The sequence below is a fragment of the Homo sapiens genome, chromosome 7 (genome assembly GCF_000001405.40).
Source record: "Homo sapiens chromosome 7, GRCh38.p14 Primary Assembly".
NCBI lineage: Eukaryota > Metazoa > Chordata > Mammalia > Primates > Hominidae > Homo > Homo sapiens.
In genome coordinates this window covers 95,485,316-95,509,488 of record NC_000007.14, presented here as the reverse complement: position 1 = coordinate 95,509,488, position 24,173 = coordinate 95,485,316, and the positions used below count along the sequence as shown (strand labels likewise).

The window sequence follows — 24,173 nt, the reverse complement described above, 5'->3', positions numbered from 1 at the left end:
TTGTTGCATTTATTCAGAAGCTATTGCTAAGTGCTTAGTTTGGAATAGAGGATTAATGAGCCCGGAGACATGGCGTTGGTCACCATGGCAACCAAACTAGCTTTGCTGTGTTCCAAGCTCAAACAACGGATGTGGGATGCTTAACTCTGGCCTGTGGTATATAGCTGGGTGTTCTTTTTCATATATCTGACTCCCCATTGCTCCTTCCAATTACTCCCTAATTCTCGTGGAAAGATAAATAAAAAGAACACCCCTACTTCTTTAGGGCTTTGCTTTTTCAGCTATACCACCTAATCTCCTTCCCGAATATAATTATCTTCCCATCTGTTTCTTAAGATTTTAGCACCTAACTCACATTACTCCTCACCTCAAAAATTCCTGACATTATTTTGGGGGTCTTTAATACCACATGAATGACCCACCCAATCTCCTGGTCTCCCCGTTTCTGAATCTCATTCACTTCAGTGACTTTCTCCTACTCTGACTTGATGACTCCAACCCACAGTCATACCTGGACTGAGTCGTTATCTGAAATTTATCTGTCTCCAGAAATCACTGATTCACATATCCAATTCTCTGCCCACAATCTTCTGTCTTTGCATCTTGCTTGTTCAGTGTCCACTATAACAATTCTTGGACTCCATCAGATCCCTCTCTGTGTTCTCTTTGTCCATTAAATGTTCCTTTCTTCTCTCCTTCTCTATCCAGCTTAGTTCCATATTTTATCATTTTAATAACTCTTTTGCTGGAACTTTAAATTCCCTTCATCTCTTCATAGCATCTATCTGGGGCCATTATGAGTGACCCTAAACCTGCGTGAGCCCAATTATCTGCTGTCTCAGTGCCTGCACCCAAGCAGCTGAGTGCTGTGTGACAAAAACCACCTGTGCCACCTGTGCAAGACTAGTAGCATCATAAAGGCAAACATCAAAACTCAATTGGACCCTCCAGACTGCTCGGAAACCCAGTGTTTCTCTGTTTGACTTACTTTCCTGTTCTCTATAATTCCCTATAATAATTATTCTCTATAATTATAGAAAATATAATATTTCCTCTCTAACAATTATTTCAAACCTCTTTTTTCCTCAGATCTTTTATACTTCTTCTCTTTTCACTCTCAACTCTCTTCACTTCTTACTTTACATAAAAAATGCCCTTCAAAGGGAAGCTTCCTTAAAGCCTTCCCACCACACACATCAACTCTCATTCTCTCCTTCTCTGCCTCTGGCTACGATAGAACAGAGGTTCTCCTCTCCAAAGTCAATCCTTTTACCTGCTCTGGATCTCATTTCCCAAACTTCTCAGAATCCTCACACCAAAAATTATCCCTACTGTCTTCTTTGTCTTCAATGTCTGCCCTACTGGTGGATTTTTCCATCAGTTTTTTAAATGCTCAGGTTTCTATCATCTAAAATCTAAAAAAAAAATAAGTTCAAACCCATTTTCCTCTTCATCTACCTTCTCATCTCCTCTTCACAAATACTCCTTAAAAGGCTTGTTCACACTTTCAGACACCCTCCTTTTTAGTTCTCAATCCCCCCCACTCTGACTTCTGCATCCGTCGCTCAACTCATTGGTATAATCTTCAGTTCCATCCATGTCACTAAATCCAATAGCAGCTGTTTAACTCTCAACTTACTGGATCTCTCCGTAGTATTTAACACTTCTGACTTCTCCCTCCTTCCTGACATACTCTCTTCATATGGGAAAGAAGCAATGTGTACAACTGAGCATGATTTTACTGGTAATGATCATGAAATTGCTCTGGTTCAACTGCACTCTTTTCCCTAGTGCTAGAACTTGTTGTCAATTGAACATTCAATAAATTTTTAACAATCAACACCCAATATGTACTATGCACTGGGCTCTGCCAAGCAAAACAGTCTCTGGTCTCCTGAAACTTATGGTTTAGTGAGGGAGGCAGTTACTAATCAAAGAATTCAACAAATAAAATGTAAGTGCCACAGAGGAAAGCTACAATGTGCTATGAGAATACAGAACATAGCATTGGGACCTAATTGATTTTAAAGGAATTAAGGAAGACTGATCCTCAGAAGTGAAGTCTGAACTAAGACTTCGCACAGGAGTAGAAGTTTGCTCGGCAAAGAAGAGGAGCAGAGCATTCTAGATAGCAGATATGCTGTATTTGCATCCCCAGCCTTTTCCCCTAACTTAGCACCTGGAATAATGGCATTTAGGTCTTGACTCTCTAGAAAAAAAGCCAGTTAGATTTTTTTTCGGAGAATCTGACCAATCTCAAGGAAAAAAAAATTCATAAGAGACTATGTCAGAGATTCCTCAGATGAAAGGTGCAGCCAGATACCCTGCAGCAAAAAAACAAACAAACAAACAAAAAACCTCTACGTAGATAATTAGATTCCAAATCAGCTTTTAGTGACTCGGATCTTAAATATAGGCAGACAGCCAAGGATTATAAGACATCTGAGGAAAACCTCTAATATAGTTGACAGAGACAATAAAAACAGAGAAAAACAACCTAGAAAAGATCTCCCAGCAAGTAGAGAATAAAAAACATAAAATAGGAGAGACGAGACAATACAAGATAATTAGAGAAACAGTCCAGGGAGGTTCGATATCCAAATAATAGTAATTCAAGAAAGAGAGCATATAGAAAGCAGAAGAAAAGAACTCACCCAGGAAATAATTCAGGAACATTTTTCAGAACTGATAGACAAGCAGTTTGGAATTGAATGGACTCAGTACAAAGGATGAAGATAAACCTACCAAGACAGTTCATTGTGAAATTTTAGAACATCAAAGACCAAAAAAAAAAAAAAAAAAGAATCTAAATTCCCCAGAGAGGAAGATAAAAATTCACATAAAAAAATGAAGATGTAAATGGCTTTCAATTTTCCAGCTGCAGTACTGGAAACTAGAAGGCAATGGGGCAATGCCTTCACCATGCTAAAAGAAAATGTTTATGAATCTAGAATTCTACTCTAAGTCGGGGGTAGAATTCATGCACTGGGGTGCATGTATGGTCTCATGCACCCTTTCTCAGAAATGTACCAGAGGACATATCTAACCCAAACAGGCAACACACCAAGATTTAGGAAGACTTGTGGTCCAGAAAACAGGAGAGAGGAAAAGGGTGTCCCTGGGATGATAGGGAATGGGAATCCCAGGATGACAGTGGTTCACCAGATGCACATCAACCTGAAACTCATTGGAGCAGGTCTGAAGACTCCAGAAGGAACTTTTTCAAGAAAATAACATTGATAAAATACCCACTGAGTTTAAATATTTCAGAAAAGATTAAAACTATTGTCTGACCAGGTACAATGCCTCACACCTATAATTCCAGCACTTTGTAGGCCTAGGCAGGAGGATCACTTGAGGCCAGGAGTTGGAGACTAGCCTCATCAAAATAGCAAGACCCTGTCTCTACTAAAAATAATTTTTTAAAAATTAGCCAGGCACGGCCCATGTGCCTGTAGTCTCAGCTACTTGGGAGGCTGAGGTGGGAGGACTGCTTGAGCCTGGGAAGTCAAACCTGCAGTGAACCATGGTCATGCCACTGCATTCTAGCCTGGGTGACAGAGTGAAACCCTGTCTCTAAAAATGAATAAAGTAAAATAAAATAAAAATATTGGCAAAAGCTTTGAGGTTAAATAGCAATGAGTATGTAGAAAATTAAGCAAAAGAATGAAATAAGACAGTTTTCTACAGAGATAACAAACATTGCACAAAAAAAGAAACTATCATAGTTGACCACAAGCCTCATAGTTATAATATAACATCATAAGGGACAGGGAATGAATAAGTATTTGGGGGGGGGGGGACACGGATAGAGGAAAAGGAGCCAGATCCTCATTTTCCATTAGAATAAATCAATAGATTCTCATAAAGCTGCTTCTATTGCTACTTATTCTTTTCCACTTTTATGGATAAATAAATGGTATTTATTTAGTAATTTGGAGCTAAATACCAAACTAATCAGCTCAAGGAAGTAAAAGTGGTTGCCTCTGAAGAAGGAATAATCTAGTACTACATTTTTCATTATAAACCTTGAATATGGTATCTTCTTAATGTCTTTTAAACAATTTTCATATTTCTTCCACCTCTTTTGCTAAATATATTTTCTAGGCCCCTTAAATTTCTTGTGATATTATAAATATATCTTTTCTTACATTGCAATTTCTAGCTGCTTATTTCTGGTATACAGAAATGCAATTGATTTTTGTATATTGATCTTAAATGCACTACCTCTTCTGAACTCAGTTACTAGTTGTAACCATTTAATTGTAGATTTTCTTGGATTTTCCATGTAGACAAACATCCTGTTTTAAATAACGGCCATTTTGCTTCCTTCTTTTCAATCATCGTACATTATGTATTTTTCTCTTCTCTTTGTGCCAGTTAGGACCTCCAGGACAGGGCTGAAGAGACTGTGACGAGAGCAGAAAAGTTGTTTCATTCGTGATTCTAAAGAGATGCTTCTACAATTTCACCACTAAATAGACTATCAACTTGAAAGCACTGCTTAAGGTTGTGTTTCCTGAAGTGTGGTATGATTTTTCGTGGAACATGCTTTACGGGACTGGAGTAACTGCTGACTGACTAGGTGTGAGATAGGGACTGCAAACTCATTTCAAGTTCACTCACTCAGAGCAGAATGATTGGAGGCAAGTCTTCTGGAAAAAGCAGTGACCAGAAGACACGGCCTTTTAGAGTCATTTTCTGCCATCTGAGAACAGAGGGTCTCTGAGCAGATGGAGGTCAAGAATTTAATTGCCTTTTATTTGCTGTTACTGTTACCCTCAGTGTATGTCAAGGGATTTTGGGTTTCAATTTTTTATAGTAATATCAAGTTTCCTTTAAAATTGAATTTCATAAGTAATATCAATTTGATGACAACATTAAATTCATATTGCACAGGTGGTACTCACAATACAGCAGATGTGGCAAAAATCCTCAGGGTGGTTTGCAAATGTCTAACATGGTCAGATTTATGCTATTACAATGTATAACGCAGAAGATGAAAAGATGGAACGCGGTGAGGTGGTAAGAGCAGCGTCTGTCCAGCAGGCATATCTATTTCGGATTAAAATGAAGGCCAGTGACATCTTGCCTTACCATGTTCCACTTCATTGACCAGGGAATTTCCTAACATGTGGTTGACTTGTGTCACTGTCAGATAAAGTAGCAGGGAACAGTCTTTTAAAAGGCATGGTCCCCTTTACATTGCCCCCATGTCACTTTCTGCTAAGGAACATTTGAATTTTTATGGCTTTCCTGCAGTAACAAATTTTCCTCCTACTGTCAGGATTTGCTTCATGCAGAGTAAAGCGGGCAGCTTTCATTTTCCTCTTACGAATGGAATAGGTAGAAATAATATGCTGCTTAGCAGCCACCTAAACCTGCCCCGACTCTCTTTATTCATAGGGAAATGCAGGATTCAAGGAGAGGAGGTTTTTCAGCAGGGTAAATAAGCCTTCTCAACTGATGAACATTATTTTACTAATACCAAAGGCAACAAAGGCCAGGAGATGGGGGCATTAAGTAGAAAGGCAAACAGAAAAATAACAGACAAAATCCAGCATGGGGACAAAGCAGGCTCTGCAACACTGAAAAAATAGGGGAAAATCCTTTAAGAGAAAATTGGGTGCAATTTTTTGCCTCAATTAGCCTTTTCCACAAAGAGCACTTTTCCACAAAGAGCCCATTAAATAGCAAATGAAATTACATCGGTTTTCAGTTGCCATGGCATTGGTTCTTCCTCTAACGGACTTCTGTGGTCCTGAGCTTAATGTTAGCCTGACGTATTTTCCTCGTCTATATGTTGTCTCAATTCCCTCTGTCCAGCTACAAAGTGATGTATTTGAGTTCTCCCCCAGAGTATCTGTGACATAATCTAAGAGAGAGAAAATTTAGCCTTTGGCTATACCTCTAGAGACTGAGAGGGTAAAACTGATGAAGAGCAGCATTTCATTAACCATGAACCACACAGTTTTCATTTATTAGGTGGCAGTGGGTCCCCATCCATGCACTCAGGGCTTCTGGAGCCATTCCCAGATCTGTCAGTAATCTCAGTAACTATTTATTGAGCACTTTCTATGTGCCAAGCGCTGTCCAAGAAGCTGAGGCATAAAAATGCAAAGGAAAGAAAACAAGATGCTCACAGTCTTTTAGTTTCCAGGTTAGAAGACCTACCTGCAAAACACTTACTTTCTCCTCATGCATAAGATGGGTTGAAATTTTACCCAGTGATCTGATTCACAGGTTTGTTTTCTTATTTATATATCTGCCAGCTGCCACACTTTAAAAAAAATTATTCTAGCAGCAAGGATCTAAAATAACAGATTTGCCTTTTTGAAATTGCTTAGCTACAGTTAAACATTAGCTATAATATCAAGTTTCACTCTGATATTTTAAATATTATTTTGATATGCATAGTCACATATAATTTTCAGAAAAATACATCTATACAGTCCATACTGTCCCATAAGCTGCTTTTTACAACCTTCCCATGTGAATGGACATTCCTTTAAACATCATTTTAAATATCTGCATGGTATGGCGGTAACAACATGAAATTTTCTATTAGATATGTAAGCATTTTTCAGTTTTTCAGTAATATAAATGACTCTCTGAGGGCAAATAGGAATCAAGCAATTTTTTGAGACTCTAAATACATTTAAAAATTAAAAGTGCCTATCTATATATTTTCAATTGTGGTACATTTTAAATGTTTTTCTTAACCAATCAAAACTTCTAAGATGAAAATATAAGGTAAAATAAGTAAAATATACTCTAACTGCATTATTCTGAAAACTCTTACAGAATTAGGAGAAAGTCTCTAATTTCTAGTGTACTGCAGGTCATGTGACCAAGCACAATTCTAAGTTACATGATCAGTGTCTTTCTTTTTCTTTCTCCCCAGTTATCTCTTTGACTTTAGGTATAACCTAGTTCAGAGATAACATCTAAAGTCTGAATTTGAGGCCCTAAGTAAATGACAGCCCTGGGTAAAATGGTCTCCTGCCTAGAATTGGTCCCTAATCCTAGAGGCGAATTTTCTAAGTTACAAGAAAGTTTTAAGCTTTTGATATGTGTTATCAATTTGCCCCCCCCCCGCAGGCTGGTACCTATTTACATTCTATTAAGCGTGTGTAAGAGCACTTCCCTATGTGTTTGTCATATATGTATTATCTTTTGTATGCTTATTAACGTAACAAACAACAACAAAATAGCTAATTGTCATTTTAATTGACATGTTACTGATTACCAATGAAGGCTATCATTATGTCATATATTTATTTGCTGTTTATATGATTTTTCTTTTTTTTCCCTTAAATATTCCTGTTCTTGGTCGTTTTGTTCTTTTTCTTTTTTTACCTCTTTCTCTCTCTTTTTTTTTTAGTTGTTAGCCTCATTACTTTAATTGAAAAACTTCTGCGTATAGTAAGCCCTTTGTCATATAGTCTCAAATATTTTCCCCAGTTTTATGATTGCCTTTTAATTTTATGGTGTTTGCCCTTCTGAAGTTGAACATTTTTGCTTTCTCTAATTTATCTCTATTTTCTTTGTGAATTCGGCCTTTGATGACATGGCTTGAAAGAGTAAGTGGATCTTTAATGGACTTCTATTCTCTCTCCTTGATTCTTATAAGCCTAATTCATTAGTGTCAGCCTACAAGCATTGCCCAAGCTTCCCCCTACCTCTTTCTTCCTTCTCATCTCTAGGTAGTCTCCCTCTGTTGACAAGAACAAAAGAGATGGGGAATAACTGTACCGGCTGGGAAAGGTGACACCTCTAGGGAGTGAAAGGTTGGCCACTCTGTCAGTTTGTGGTTGATGAAGTCACATGAAAAGGCCACAATGTAAAAAGTTAACAAAGTTTCAGTTACACCGGATGATGAATAAGTTCTGAAGATCTAATGTATAGCAGGATGACTATAGTTAGTAACACTGCATTGTTTACTGGAAATTTGTTGAAAGTAGATCTTAAGTGTTCTTATTTATGATTAAGATGAAAAGATGGAATGCGGTGAGGTGGTAAGAGCAGCGTCTGTCCAGCAGGCCTATCTATTTCGGATTAAAATGAAGGCCAGTGACATCTTGCCTTACCATGTTCCACTTCATTGACCAGGGAATTTCCTAACATGTGGTTGACTTGTGTCACTGTCAGATAAAGTAGCAGGGAACAGTCTTTTAAAAGGCATGGCCCCCTTTACATTGCCCCCATGCTACATTCTGCTAAGAAACATTTGAATTTTTATGGCTTTCCTGCAGTAACAAATTTTCCTCCTACTGTCAGGATTTGCTTCATGCAGAGTAAAGTGGGCAGCTTTCATTTTCATTTCATTATTACGAAAAGTGAGACAAAAAATGTTTTAATTAGAAAGTTAATGATTAAATTAATATATAATTTCTAAAATTCCTTAAACTCTTAAAAATAAAAAGCTTGCATGTTTAAACTAATTAAATTTAAAAATCAATAAAGATAAAAACTAAATCTAAACATAAATGAATGAGTAAATGTGAAGAGTGGTGATGGCTACACATAGAAAATGTGAGTAAGCTCCAAATTATGCCTAACCTTGTCCCTGTAGCTTCCTTCCTAAGTGGGAGGCTGCAAAAGCGAAGAAGAGCACAATTGCTGGAGGGAGGTCACAGGTCACTATTATCTACAGTTGGAGATCAGAGGAAAACCTTGTGTGCCAAAGTAAGTGATTCATAGAAATAACAGTTGAAGATGTATGAGACAGGATAACTGAAAGGTTCCAGTCTTTCAGAAGTTGAGATGAGATGAAATCCAGAGAATATGGGATACAGCCTCATTTTTAACAAGTGAACCAAAGAAGAAGGAGAATATGCTGGGCTGAATTTTTTCTTCCCCTTCATTTCCGCAGGTTGAAAAGATCATGGCTTTTTTTTTTTTTTTTTTTTTTTTTTTTGAGACAGATCTTGCTCTGTCACACAGGCTGGTGTGCAGTGGTCCAATAATAGCTCACAGCAGCCAGCCTCAAACTCGTGAGCTCAAGCAATTCTCCTGCCTCAGCCTTTCGAGTAGCTAGGAATACAGATGCACCACCATGCCTGGTTAATTTATTTTTCCTTTAGTAAAGATGTGGTCTCACTATGTTGCCCAGTCTGATCTCAAACTCCTGGCCTCAAAAGGTCCTCCTGCCTCAGCCTCCCCAAAGTTCTGGGATTACAAGCATAAGCCACGGCTCCTAGCCACATGGCATCTTTTATAAGTCCAGTAATCCTACTACATTTCTCTAGTAAGTTTCTTCTCCCATTTTTTTTCTCCCGAACCTCCCATTCCTTCTCCATTCTTATGAAAATGTCTATGCTTTCTGCTCTCCTCTCATTTTTTGGCTGGTGACTTTGACACATTGTTGAGGGGAAAAACCATCCGAACTCCCTCATCGTAGCACCATCAAATCTATAAATATTCTGGCATTTAAAACCATCTTTTACTTTGTCCCGCTTCTTAAAAATGAGGATGCTCCCAGCTACTTGGGAGGCTGAGGCAGGAGAATGGCGTGAACCCGGGAGGCAGAGCTTGCAGTGAGCCGAGATCGCACCACTGCACTCCAGCCCAGGCGACAAAGCGAGACTCCGTCTCAAAAAAAAAAAAAAAAAAAAAAAAAAGAGGATGTATCCCGTAGTCTCTGGATTTAATCTCATCTCAACTTCTGAAGGACTTTCAGTTATCCTGTCTCGTGCATCTTCAGCTGTTTTCTTTCTATGAATCATTTCCTTTAGCACACAAGCTTTTTCTTTGATCTCCAACTGTAGGTAAGTCTTGCCTGTGACCTCCCTCCAGCCCCCTCCAGCAATCATGCTCTTCTTATGTTCACTTCTGCAGCCTCACTTCTTTTTACCAATTGTTTACCTGTGGCATCTCTGGTTTCTTACCACCCATTTGCACTTTATACCATTCAAATCTGGCTTTTAACACTGTTTCACCAAAACTATTTTTGTCAGTGATAACTCTGTCACCTAATCTAATGAACATCTAATTAACCCTGGGTAGCTATCACTATAGCTGGCCACTCTCTGCTTCTGGAACCTACTACCTCTTTCTTTGTCCTTGTGTTGCCAAAATACTCTTGGTTTTCTCCAATTTTACTTATCAGTATATCTTACTCTCCTTTACTGGTTTCTCCTCATCCTTCTAACATTGAAATGTTAGAATTCATTGGGGCTTTTTCATAGATTCACTTTTCTCTATATATACTCTTTATCCAGGCGATTCCATTGATTTCCTTGACTTCAAATACAATCTATAGGCCAACAATTCTGAAATTATACCTTTAGTCCAGGGCTCTGTTCTGAAATCTATACTTTTATATAAAGTGCATCCTTGACATTTTCACTGAAGTTTCAAAGAGATATGAAAACTCTCATACTTAAAACTGATCTAGGAGGACTCACTCTATCTGATTTCAAGACTTGATACAAACCTGTGGCAATCAAGTCAGTGGAGCATTAGGGAAAAAAATAAAAAGATATATAGGTCAATGGAATAGGCTGGAGTCCAGAAATAAACCCATACATATATTGCCAATTGATTTTTGACAAAAATACTAAGGCAGTTTGATGGTGAAAGAATATTCTTTTCAACAAATGGTGTTGAAACAACTGGGCATCCATATAAAAAAAGACGAACCTAACCCATAACTTATACCATATAAAAAAATTAACTCAAAATGAATCCTACACCTAAAAGTAAAATCTGAAATGACAAAACCTCTAGAAATAAACATATGAAACAAATTTTTTGCTAGGAGGAAAAAAATTGGTAAATTGAATTTATCAGAACTAAATACTTCTTCTCTTTGAAAGATACTGTTAGGAAAATGAAAAGAAAAGCCACAGAATGAAGAGAAATACGTGCAAACTATGTATCTGATAAATGACTAGTATTCGGAATATATATCAAGAACTCTCTCAAATCAATAAGAATACAGGCAACCCATTTCTTTAAAGGAGTAAAAGTTACAGACATTTCACCAAAGTAAATAATATACAGATGGCAAATCAATACATGAAAACATGTTCAACATCCTTAGTCATCAGAGAAATTCAAATTAAAACAATGAGATACCATTACAAACATATTTAGAATGGCTAACATTCTAATGATCTACCCCCCAGTAGAGGGACATTTAGAATGTTAGCCAATATGTTAGCTATTCTAATATGTTTGTAATGATTGCAAACTGATGTTGCCCACGCTGAACTCAAACTCCTAGACCCAAGCAGTTCTCCCACCTTGGCCTCCCAAAATACTGATATTATAGGTGTGAGCCACCGTGCCCAGCCTAATTTTTTTTATCTCACATTATCAAGTTCTGCCAAGCAACTGGAATTCTCATACATTGCTGATAGAAATACGAAATGACAGAACTACTTTGGAAAACAGTGTTGCAGTTTCTTATAAATTTACCACATAGCCATCATCCCACTCCTAGGTATTTATATAAGAGAAATAAAAAGTCCACATAAAAACCTGTATGCAAATGTTTATATCAGCCTTTCTTTGAAAACTGACAAAACCTAAGGACATTCCAAATGTCCCTCTACTGGGGGGTAGATCAATTTTGTTATGTGTATACAATGGAATACTACTCAGCAATAAAAAGGTCTAATTTATTGGTCCATGCAACCATATGGATGGATCTCAAATGTATTATGCTAAGTGAGAGAAACCAGACTCAGAAGCCTACATATTTTATATTTTAATGTATATGACATTCTGAAAACAGGCAAAATTATAGGGACAGAAAACATCAGTGGTTGTCTGTAGATGTAGAGGGGGAGAGGACTAACTACAAAGGGCATCAGGAAACTTTTTAAGATGATTGGCATGATAGTTTCACAAAAACAATATTTCTCAAAATGTTAAATTGTACTGTTAATTTTGCTGAGTGAAAATTATACCTCCATAAACTGACTTTTTAAAAAATGGATTTAATGATTATCCCTACATAGGTGCCTCTTCCTCAAGTTTCTTTACCTCAAAAAATGGCATCACTATCTGCCTATTTACTAAAACCTGAAACCAGGCAATGATACTTGGGACTTCCTTTTTCCTTCACACCCCACCCACATCCAATCCATCTCTGAATCCCAACAATTCTACTTCCAAAATGTATTGCAAACCCATCTCCTAAACTTCCTATCTGAGCTTGCCCCTGGTGCAAGCCACCATCTTCTCTCACCTAGACTATTACAATAGCTTCCCTACTGGTCTCCCTGCTTCCATTCTTGTCTACCTCCAATCTATTTTCTGCATAGCTCCAGAATAATGACTTTAAAGGAAAATTAAATCATGTCACTGTCTTACTGAAAACTTTTTTGTGGCTCCATTTCAGAGCCCTACACTTTGACCCTCAAAGGCCCTGTAGGATCTAACACATCCAATGTCATCTTGTAACACTCCCCTCTACCCTCTTGTCCTTCCCACCCTACCCCACACCCATGATACTCTGGTCATAGTAGCCCTCTTCTATCTGTTTAATATTCCAAGTTTTATTGCTCTCTTAGCAATTTTGCTCAAGCTATTTCCTATAGCTAGACCCCTCTTCCTCTCGGCGTTCTTTTTTAATGGCTGTCTCCTTCCCATTTGTTTTTTGTTTGTTTTTGTTCTTTGTTTTTTGTTTTGAGACAGGGTCTCACTCTGTCAGTCAGGCTGGAGTGCAGTGGCATAATCACAAGTCACTGCAGCCTTGACCTCTTGGGATCAAGTGACCCTCCTACCTCAGTCTCCTGAGTAGCTGGGACCACAGGTGCATGCCACCATGCCCGGCTAATTTTTTTTGCTTTTTGTAGAGATGGGGTCTCCCTATGTTGCCGAGACTGGTCTCGAACTCCTGGGCTCAAGTGATCCTCTCACCTTAGCCTCCAAAACTTCTGGTACCACAAGCATGAGCCACAGCACCTGGCCGTCCTTTTCATTCTTAAAATTTCAGCCTACCTAGCATAATATCCTTAGAGAAGACTTTATACATTTTATAGTAATTCACTTCTGACATCCTCATTCATAACTCCTGTTTTCTCCTTCAAAACACTGTCCCAATTTATAATTATATATTTATGAATTTATTTTGTTAATATTTGTCTCCCTTATTAGAATATACTTTCTTTGAGGGCAGGAGTATTTTCTCTTTTTCATTGACTTAGTGCATTACCTGATGCATAATAGGAGCTAAATAAATATTTGTTAAGTAAATGAGTAAATGAATGAACTTCCTGCTATTAGATAATAAGATTTTAATGTGATCATCATTGAATTACCTGAATCAACAGAACTATGTATTTTTTAGGGCCTTCTGTACTAGGCATAATTGCATCTTTATGCTTACTACATCATCTGGGGTAGGTAGGGGTCACAAAGTCTTGAAACCATGAGTGTACAAGCAGACAACAATGTTGGCCACCCAGAAAGGCTTACCTCTCCAAACCAATTGCTTGGCACAGAGAATGGAACTTGGAGTTGTACAAAAGTGCAAAGCTGTGTGTCCACTTAAGGAGTAGCAATTGAGCTTTGCCCCACGATCACAGAGGATCTTAACACAATCCACATTGGCCATTTCACAAGCCACGTGAAGAGGGGTTTTCCCATTGGGTCTACAGTTGATTGTAGCATTGTGGTCCAGTAGCACCAGAAGACATTCCACATGGCCAAACAAGACAGAGAGATGGAGGCCTGTGGCCCAGGAAGACTTCAATTTATAGCTAGGCAACCAGTAACCTGAAAAAAAAAAAAAAAAGGAAAAGGAAAGTTTAACTTCTTGACCTAGGCTTTCTCCCTGTTTTGTGAGGATTTTTACAAGTATTTTATTTTGGCCACATTTATAAAAGTGGGGTGGAGAGGGGATGACAGAGGTTTTAAACTAATAGCTAATGGGTCTGCAAGCGTTTTGTTAAATAGCATATTCTGATATTCATCAGGGGAACAGGCTTTCTCAAGCTCTCACTGTCTCTACTGTTTCTTATTACTGTGTCTTGTTCCTTTATTTACTTTACCTTTCTAGGTCTTGAAGGCATTTAAGTTTGGGATCTTCATTTATGTAATTGTATTTTATTTTGCATGCTGAGTTATTTGAGATGCTTCAAGGATATTTTTTTAAAAAACTTTCAATCATTGAGAGTTTGTCTTGAATGATTCCAAGGCTGTCAGTTGCAAGCTTATAATTTTTATTCTATCCAAAATCTTTTTTCCTATAGTTGTTGTCAATCCAACATATGAATATATTTAATCTTTTTAAAAAAATTATCACTCCAAGATTTTATTTGCCTGCCTGTTGATTTATGCAATATCGCTTTCCAAAGACGAATTTAAGGCAACTCTCAACTTTCACACACTTAAAGATTTTTTAAACGATTTAGAAAATAAGGGCAAAATAAAAAAGTAGGAAAATAAAAATGTCAAAAGTAAGACAAATACATACACAAAATATAAACTGTATCCTATACACTAGAATGGCATTGCAAATTTGCCTTTGAATTTCCTAGCAGCCAAAATAAACAGGAAAATAAGATATGTTGCATAATTAACTATGTCTACAAGCCATACATAAATGATTGGGCAGGGGAAGCATAGATGTGCCTAGAACTGAGATCTTCAATAATTTTTCCCATTGGTTTTTGGAAATGTGCATTCTCTCTCTCTGCCTCTCTCTCTCTCTTTTCTCCCACTGATCTCTGACTTCTATACGCTGAGCTGGTCTTTTTTCTATAAATCTGCAACTATTGCCACATTTGACAAGCTATAACTATGATGACTTTATAAACCTTCTTTCTATGTCAATGCCAATAGCCATAGCATTTAAGCTTTTATGAATGGAGAACGGAAAATAGGTACAGAAAGAAAAAATACTGAGGGCAAGAAGATGAAGAGATAGTTCTTCAACAGTCACAGCGTAGAAGTTACTTTAGGGCTGAAACAACAAAATAAATTTTAACATGGATAAATCAAAAGTTTGCTTATAGATTATAAAAATTCCACTTACAAGTACAAAGTAAGCAGAATATGATTTAATGGTCATTTATTTGAGAAACAACCTAGGGATTTGAGCTGTAATCTCAAAATAAGCCAACAGTGGGATGGTACTGCCAAAAAACTAATACAATCTGAAACTACATTAATAAAAGTGTAGTGTCCAGAACAAGAGAAGTAAACATTGTATTCTTCACTGATTAGATAAGGTCATAAGAAATCTAGAATATTACGATGACTGCTGGGCATTGCCCCTTACAAGAAATGATGAACTACTAGAGGGTGCTCTGAGGATGATGACCACATTAAAAGTGGGCCTGGTGATCAGGTATTAAATTTCTCTCATTTAAGTGAAAAACACTAGAGACATGCCACTCCTGGGTATTTATCCTATAAGCATAAACACCCATGTGAAATGTCCTAAAGGACCACTGTATTGCACAACTCCACAAAAAACAACATTTGCATTGTACTCTGTGAAATGTGCTCCTGGACTTAGGAATCTTGACAACCTGGTCTACATACAAGAACATGCACTACACTACAGCATTGTTCGAATGGTTAAACAACCTCCATGTTAATTGATAGGAGATTGCTTAAATAAATTATGATACATCCGTCAATCAAATACTATACAACCATTAAAAAAAGGGGCAGTTCTATATAGACTGAAATGGAAAGATCTCAAGATATATTACTGAATGAGAGAAGCAGGGAGCCAAACAGTATACAAACTATGCTATCATATGCAAATACATTTGTAAACACTGAGAACACGAAACTGGTTATAGTGGTGGCCTCCAAGAAGAACTGGGGGGTTGGGGGATCAGGACAGAAATGCACTTGTTCTTGTTACAAGGAGGTAACATACCAAGTTACCTCCTTGGCAACTTCTAAATTTAGTATCCTGTGCATGTATTGCTTTTTAACAAAAATAAATAAAATCAAAATAAGCTATTGTCTCTCTGTCCAGAGGGGAAAAAATAATTTAATTTAAAGAAGCTATTTACAAGGTTGTGCACAGTGATTAATCCCACAGGAATGAATGAACTCAACCCAAAGTTTGTCTGTCTTTCTGTAATGTATCCTCCAACCTAGCTATACACACACACACACATACACACACACACACACACACACACACACACTTTCATCTCTTTTTTACTCCATTCAGAATTCTAGAGCCATCTTGCTTTCTCTCTCTCCCACCTTTCCCTTTATCCAAATCTCCTCTTTAAAAAGAAATCCAGTTATTTCACATTAAGGTCTAATGGACTGAGGATTGTTTAAAGTATGATCACTCTGAGGATTATCTGAATTTATAGAAGAATCTATATTCAGCTAATAGAATTAAATTCTAATATATTACTTTGAGATTCCAGACACTGGGAAGAGATGGTGTTGGATTATATGGACTTTCCATGGCAGAACTAAGTAGTGTCATAGACAGTCTGGGCTGGGGAGCATCAACTCCACGCCTCGTGTGTATGTGTGTGCAAATTGATATGCACACACAATGTATGTACATATAGATTCATTTATACATTTCTATTGAGTTATGTACATTGAATCTCTGTTCCGAGCAGAGTTCCTAAGCTGTATGTCATGCAGCTTGCTTTTGATGATGAACGAATCACATTAACTTCAATACTTAATCAGTCATTTTAATACTCAAATTTCCTCAAAAAGCAACTGGCAAAAACAGTCTTTCCTAACTGCCTAAGAAGTTGGTTCCAGGTCTGAAAACCAGGATGTGTTTTGCCTGCTGATTAACAGCAAAAATTAGGCAGCTCTCTGTGACAACTGATTGGAAATTTGCGCCTGCTTCTGCAATGGGAAGAAAAATGATCCCAGAAAGGAAGCAGCAGAGAGCTGATTAAGAAAACACCATTTTGATGTAAAATCAAAGAAACACAGAATGTTAGCGCTGGAGGGAAGATTATCCAGTCCAAGCCTTTCATTTTCCAGATGAGAAAACTGCCACTTTTTCAGCCTGCTAGAGCCATGAGTTGCCTGCCTCAATCCAAACTCATGGACTCAGAATACCCGCAATGCAGTTTTCATCTGTCTTTGTCTTTGTGGAAGCAGAATAGAATTACCTCCAAGCCTGCTTCACAAATCACAAGGAAAGGAAGAAGATCCTCAATTCATCTGTAATATTTCACATCTCTGATATGGAAATGCATTTGCTAGTTGAATTTTTTTCCTCCTCCTAACTTCCAGGTAGCACCTAAAGACTCTATCCTGTTCGTGTATTATGTGAGTCAGTCATCCTTGGCCTCTCAGTCAGTTTCTTCTGCATCTCCTGTAATCATAAACATTATCTGGTCAATCAGGCTCACAGACTACAAGGTCCTGGAATTCAGCCAACTCCCAGAATGGAGTTGTGGTTACAACTCACCTCTCCTAAGATAGGAATGTGTGTAGGTAGGTGGTAACAAGACACCTTAGCTGCTGCCTCTGGGGAGCTGAAGTGGAGAAATGGCAAGAGGACAGTTTGCAGGCTATAGCTTAGGGTATACTGAAGTGTATCTGGAAGCTGTGTTGCAAAACTTTGGTGGTAATGTGGGGCTAGGGATTTTTGAATAATTCAGCCCTGAGCATATCAGGAAAGTCTGCTGCTTTGAGCAGAGAAAAGAGCAGCCCCTGGCAAAAGGGCCATCAGCGTACAATCATCACTTTAAAATGAGGCTGGGCCTACAGGTCACTGTGTAGCAAGTGTGGAAGTAAATACACTTACTGTCATGGAGGACCAAACCCCAGGTAAAGCTATCTTCAAAAACTACAGATGAGGCTGTGCCTATTCACAATCTTCTGCTGATGCTGATATGTCAAGAGATCAGAATTTGTCCCCCAAAATATAACCACCAATGACCACAGCATGCTAGAAACACAATTAACTGATGAGGCAGATTCATTTTTTACACACTCCCTTCTTCCCACAGCAAAATTTTTCCAGGGCTTCGAAACCTAGAATGTGATTTATTCCTAGTATTTGTCTTTCAAAAGCCCCCCTCTGCTCACCTCTGCAGACTTCAGGCTGCCCTTTTACTATGTGTTTAGACTTCACAAAGGACAGAGGTGAGGGAGAACCGGGGAACCAAGCCCATGGGAGCTAGGGGTGGGAGGTGAAGCAGCGGCTGCCTCCCTCTAATGTAAACCACTCACACGCTACCCCATGTCTAGAGTCTGTGTGCAGTGACAGCTCCTTGCAGAAGAGTTCTGTTTGAATAAGAAGCTCCACTAAGAAGAAAAGAAAAATAGAGATTATTTCCCCTGTGTACAAAACCCACAGGAACTCCCAAATACAGGCCATGCCCATGTGGCTTTGACCATGATACATAATCTGTTTACATAGTTTCACCTTCATAATGTGATTAATTATCTGCATGCCAGAATCTGAACTTAGAGAGGGTCTTGTCAAAGCTTCCATTTTACAAATGAAGATAATTAGTCTGGAAGAGGTTAAGTAGTATAAAGTGTCCATGTTCATATAACAAGTACCCACAGAATCAACTCTAACTCTCAAACTCCATTGCCCCCAAATCTTTAAATAGCCGTCTATGATCCGAAGGCTACATGCAGTTTACCTCCAAACTGATATCACTTGTAGCTAAAAGTTCTAAAGGAATTTGAGAAGTTTTATCCCTGAAAAGAAAATATGCAGACTAATCGTGTGTGTGTGCACGCGTGCGCGTGTGTGTTTAATTTAAATCTGAAACCAAAGAGATATGCCCCAATAGCTGGGTAGAAAGCTGCCTAGAAATATAGCAAGGAGCAAAGTGTTTGGGCCTTCTTTTGGAAGAGGGGATTGGTTCTGCTCCAGCGTTTGGAGAGGATGTACACATTTCTGGTAAACCTTCAGCTAAGCCTGGGCTCTGCAACAGTTATCAACTATAATGTTATCTGAGTCAAAAGAACCCCACACATGAGAAGCCTCTGTTATTACAGCCAAAGGTTACACACACTGCTCGTGGCTGGATTAGCAGACATTTGCTCTGCCTGTGTCCATGTATTTACACAGTCCTGAAGGATTACAGACTGAAGCACAATTCTTGGCTATTTTTTAATAGCTAATATTTTCCAGATAACTCAAAGTTCCCCTGGGAAGGGGGGATAAAAGCAAGTTTGAAGTGTAAAATGTAAAAGAAAAAAGTTTGAACATCGAAGAAAGGAAAAGAACCCTAGGATGGAAATGGGAAAGCAGGAGAGTGAATTTCTGGCAAAGAGGAAAATTAGGTGATAAAGAAATTATTCATTCAGAGAGTGGAAATAAGAGCTTTCACAATATTGGGATATAAGTTGCTACTTAGTAAAGGAAACAGAGTACCTGCCAGAAAGTTTTTTAAGTGAAATCATTCATTGGTTATTTTAATTAAAAATATGACTACCAACCAAGGAATCAGTGGCTATGGGCCATAAACGAAGTACTTAAAGTGCATTACCCTGATTAATAAAAGGACTCTGATTAACCTTGCTGACTAGGGAATTTCATACCAAAGAGATAAGTATGAAATTCTGCCTGTATCATTTATGAGCAAAAGCTCATACATCTGAAGGAAGATCAAGTTGGTAAAGCCTTTGGAAACAGTTTTATGGACAGTCCTTCGTCTTTCCAGTATGGAAGTAACCAGTGAAAACCAATAGAAGGGACATTTGTGTTTTCTTTAAAGATTTCTTCTGTGCTTGACTTCACTCTAAATACTCAGTGGTTGGCTCATAATTAATGTTATATCACTGACATCCCTTGACTTTCAATGACTTATTGCATTTGGCAGTTAGAAAGTCATTCTTTATGTTTTCTTTATATCGTTTTTATTTTAAAGTGATCATCTGGTAAACGCAATTTTGGCTTACTTGTTTTTGCTTTTAAGACCCATTATCTCCGCCATTCCCAGGGAGGTCTCTCAAATGCCAACCAGCACATTTTAAATGTTTGCTTTACAAAATGTGAGAAAAGTTTCTTTAAATTAATAAAACATGATTTCATCTGCAGATTTTATTATGAAGCTTAAAATAACTTAGAAAAGTAAAGTGAGAGCTCTCTAACTTTAAGAATCATGATTAGGTGCTGGAGAAAGACAGGATCCACAGTTTGAACATGAACTCTGGAGGCTGGCTTCTAAATCTGTTCTCTGCCAAATTGGTAAGAGAAGCTATTCAATGAGATGGGCCCAGTGCTACAGAGGAAAGCAGAAATGAGCTTCCAGACTTATTTGTAATCCAATAGCTTTATTCTGTCTTCCTCACAAAATACACATTTCATATTTGCTTATGAGCTAAACTTTTGATTACTGGTGTGCCCAGTAGATTGTAAATTTGGGAAGCACTATTTAGATTTTAGGTGATTTATTTGCCAGCAGAGTTCTGAGTTCCCTTTTCAAAAATTATACACTGACTTTCATATAGGCTTAGATGGACTATATTTAGGGATAAAATTTAGTTACTTCTTAAATCCTATAAAAATGCTGTATGTTCTAAATAAATAAGAATGGTTTAGAATTGATTGTACTACTTTTCACTTTCTATAGGACTATCAAATGTTGAATATAGAATTTTAGTATTGATTACACAAGGAAATTTAAGAGTAGCATGAGATTCGTTATAGGTTTTGTGCATTGTCTTTCTTATTAAGCCAAAAATAACTGAAACCTGAAGATTCCCACACTTTAAAAGTAAACAGGAATGCTCTGTTTCCTCATCTGGATGCTGGTTACATAGGTTTGTTATTTTGTGAAAAGTAATCAAGCTGCACACTTATTTATGCACTTTTGCGGAGAGCTTTTCAAAAGTGCTTTAAAAAAATCAAAGAGCAGTGTGTAGCAGTTCAACAGCGTCCAAGGTCCAAAACTTCTCCTTTGATTTAATAAAGTCTCACAAACTTTAATCCAGCCACATACCTTTTAAGGCCACACAGAAATGGGTCCTATTCCTTTGAACTATTTAGAAAAGAACTAACTAACCACTGTAGACTGCTCAGCTCCACGCTGTTGCCTGACAATGACTTTATGACTTAAGAAATTGATATAACCACTTAGATCTACTAGCAGCTAGGATTCTATTTGTCATTTCCATTCCTAACTTTCCATTCCTAAGTTTAAAAGGATCGATGATAAGGTTGGAAGCATGTGAAAAAAATTGGAAGAAACTTCTTTTTTTTTTTCTTTTTGAGACGGAGTCTCCCTGTGTCACCCAGGCTGGAGTGCAGTGGCGCCATCTGGGCTCACTGCAAGCTCCGCCTCCCGGGTTCACACCATTCTCCTGTCTCAGCCTCGGGAGTAGCTGGGACTACAGGCGGCCGCCACCGCGCCTGGCTAATTTTTTGTATTTTTAGTAGAAATGGGGTTTCACCGTGTTAGGCAGGATGGTCTCTATCTCCTGACCTCGTGATCAGCCCACCTCGGCCTCTCAAAGTGCTGGGATTACAGGCGTGAGCCACCACTCCCGGCCTGAAGAAACTTTTAAGAAAGATGAAGTTTTAACCTGGGTTTAAGACTAAAGAGACAGGTCCTTGTGCCCATGTGCGTATTAAACAGAGTAGTGGAGAAGTGTGTTTCAAGTGTGTTTCTTTCTACACATGAGTGCAGACACAAATTTCCTGCATAAACCCTAAAAGTAAGACCACAAATTTTACTAGTTCTGTGCAAGCATCCACTTGGCATACATAAGAATGGAACTGTTCTTTTCCTTTTCCAGAGGGTGTAATTTGCTATCTCCCTAATTGAAAGCCACATCCCACAGTCCTAACACTATGAAAACACCTCAATTCGTGGGAATGAAAATTTAGCTCTATGAGGACCATAGGAGTCAGCTCATATTGACAAGAAGAATTTAAAATGTATTTTCTTTTCCTTCAAGGAAGATGACACCGGTGGAAGTAGGAGAACCAACCCCACCTCTCCCCTCCACTTCCCTAGAGCCTGCACCTAAAACTTGGTTTCTTATATCCTCAGAAACTTCCCACAATCTGTGCAACTTGGCCTGCTCAGATGAGAGAAGACAGTCTTTGCAACTCAGGGTCAAATAACTTACCCACTGACTTGAACCTGAGTTATTTCACCCTAGGCACAAATATAAGCTTTTTAAAAACATCTTAAAAATTAGTTTAGCATTCAGACATTCTATCACTGAACAAAATTATAAGATGAAAGCAATCTGATTATATAGTATACAAATTTTCTAACAGACCCCATAAACTTTTTAAAAAATAGATCCCTTCTTTGTCTTCCCATCAAAATATTAATGCCATTAATGCCAAAATATTATAAAGCCCTTGAGTAAAAATCATAAACATAGTAACTAGCCTGAGCTCTTCTATATGTCCCTCAGAACTGACAATCGGAGGACAGTAAATTAATGAAGAAATATATACTGTACCATTAGCATTTGTATCTGGAAATGTATTATACTGATGATTTATAGATGGCCAGAAATCATTTTTAAACATTAAAATAATGACTGTCTCTAAATGCTATACACAAGACCTTAGCATCTATATTGTATTAAACATTAGTGATGTTGAGCAGCATGTTTGCAGTATGCTCGCCAGATGATCTAACTACTCACGTTCCCCCAATTAACCAGTTGATTTGGGAAATCAGAATCAGTGGAACTCTAATTCATTTCTGATTTATTAAGCATGGGTTCCAGAAAATTCCTTGGTAAAAAAAAATTGGTCTAATTTTTGTTTTCCTTAGGTCGTTATAAGACAGATATTCTGTATTAAACACATCTACAATTTTGAACAATTATTGTAGTCCAGGAAAAAAGTTAACTTTTTGGTTTTGCTGAATTCAGCTTTTGTGCCTGAACTGAAAACTCATTAAAATGAAGAAGACCATGAAGGTGCCTGTGGCACCGCTTTATCCATTTATTAACCCTCCAAATGTTGGGGAGATTCCTCTTTTTCATCCACATGGACATAGAGAGGATATATCTTTAAGTAGCTGTTAATGGAGAATTAGCAGCGTGTTCTTAAACCAGGTACATTGTCTAAGATAGGGTTTCAACAATCTGCTTAGCCATAATCTAAAAATGTTTTCTTCCTTCTATATCATCATAGTCAGAAGAAAAGTTAAAAACAGAGAGAGTGCATTGCTAAAAATGATTGTCTGGGATTTCAAGTCCTAGGCCCAAGGGTGGGAAAAGAAAAGGAGAGACACGACTTATACATATATATCAGCCCACAATGTGTTTTAGTTTAAAAAGAAAGAAAATATCAATTTAGAAATATTTTTTAAATGAATACTTAAAGAAACAATAAAAACTACTGTTTAGAGTGGATAACTGACACTGTGCATTTTTTTAAATCATTTTCTAACAGTTCTACAATAACACCTATATGTTTTTACCTTGTTTATAAGATGCCAAAACCATATTCTCATCTTCGACTTCAAAAACAGTGTCCACATCTATTTGCCTTTGGATCAAAATAGCCTTCAATTTTCCGAAGTCATTGGACTTTAGCGCCTCAAGGAAATTTCTCTTAACTAACTTGGCAGCTCCAGATTTAGTGACAGGGGCAGTGGTGCCGTCCATCCTTCCTCTCCCTCTGGAAGCTTTGTTGTGATTTATCGAGAGAACAGCACCGAGCAAACAGGCGCATGCTGGAGAGTCCACAAACTGTCGGCTAATTTTATCCCAAAGTTATGCTGATCCGTTCTATTTATATAGGGATCATTTCAAACTTCAAAATATCCTTCTTGGCTGTCACTACATTTTCAGGTCCTTTAAACTGGTTATATATTAACTGATCCATTCAGTAATATATAGTGTCAATATGAACGAAAGCCCCCGTGATACATTTCCAGGCATGAAATGTCACAATTATTTCTTATATGATCAAAGTAATAATATAAGATTTAAAAGCTCTTAATGCTCTTTTTTTCCCCTCAATAAAAACATCTGGTGCCTGGCTGGAGATCCAGCGTCTTGCTCTGACAAGCCAATATCCAAAAATGAAAATCTGTTACAGTTGTGGATACATTTGCTTCTAAAAACCTGTAATAATTTTGCAATATGAGCTTGTAAAATCAACCATTGTCATACATATCTGAAGACAAACAGGAGGTTTTCAAGTGACCTAGACTTGAAAAATTTTAATATGAAAAGCTGGGAAGGGAGGAGGTGGGGAGACGGTCCGGGGCAGGGACTCTTTTAGGTAAAAAAGAAACTGAAGAGATAAAACATTTAAA

At 37.8% G+C, this 24,173-nt stretch overlaps 1 protein-coding gene across 4 annotated transcripts in view, besides 2 other annotated features; it reads right to left on the bottom strand.

Annotated features, from left to right (window-relative positions):
* The window catches only part of ASB4 (ankyrin repeat and SOCS box containing 4), an 80,662-nt gene that overhangs the window by 41,829 nt on the left and 14,660 nt on the right, over positions 1-24,173 (bottom strand). For 3 of the 4 annotated variants that reach the window (XM_017012303.2, NM_016116.3, NM_145872.3), the window contains exons 1-2: positions 23,331-23,546; positions 13,432-13,731 (exon numbers count right to left, since the gene is read on the bottom strand). In XM_017012303.2, coding sequence (XP_016867792.1) covers positions 13,432-13,731; positions 23,331-23,517 — 487 coding nt within the window. In that variant the 5' untranslated portion in view covers positions 23,518-23,546. Of the gene's footprint in view, positions 1-13,431; positions 13,732-23,330; positions 23,547-24,173 lie in introns of those variants that run through there. The other variant, XM_047420471.1, reaches the window with a different exon arrangement.
* Positions 8,090-8,139: an enhancer, noted in NCBI's record as "active region_26294". NCBI's record gives its function as "activates an Ori minimal core promoter by ATAC-STARR-seq in GM12878 lymphoblastoid cells {active_cell/tissue: GM12878}" and the evidence as "EXISTENCE:reporter gene assay evidence [ECO:0000049][PMID:35858748]".
* Positions 8,438-8,732: a silencer, noted in NCBI's record as "tiled region #3033; K562 Repressive non-DNase unmatched - State 24:Quies". NCBI's record gives its function as "represses a minimal TATA promoter and a strong SV40 promoter by Sharpr-MPRA in K562 cells {active_cell/tissue: K562}" and the evidence as "EXISTENCE:reporter gene assay evidence [ECO:0000049][PMID:27701403]".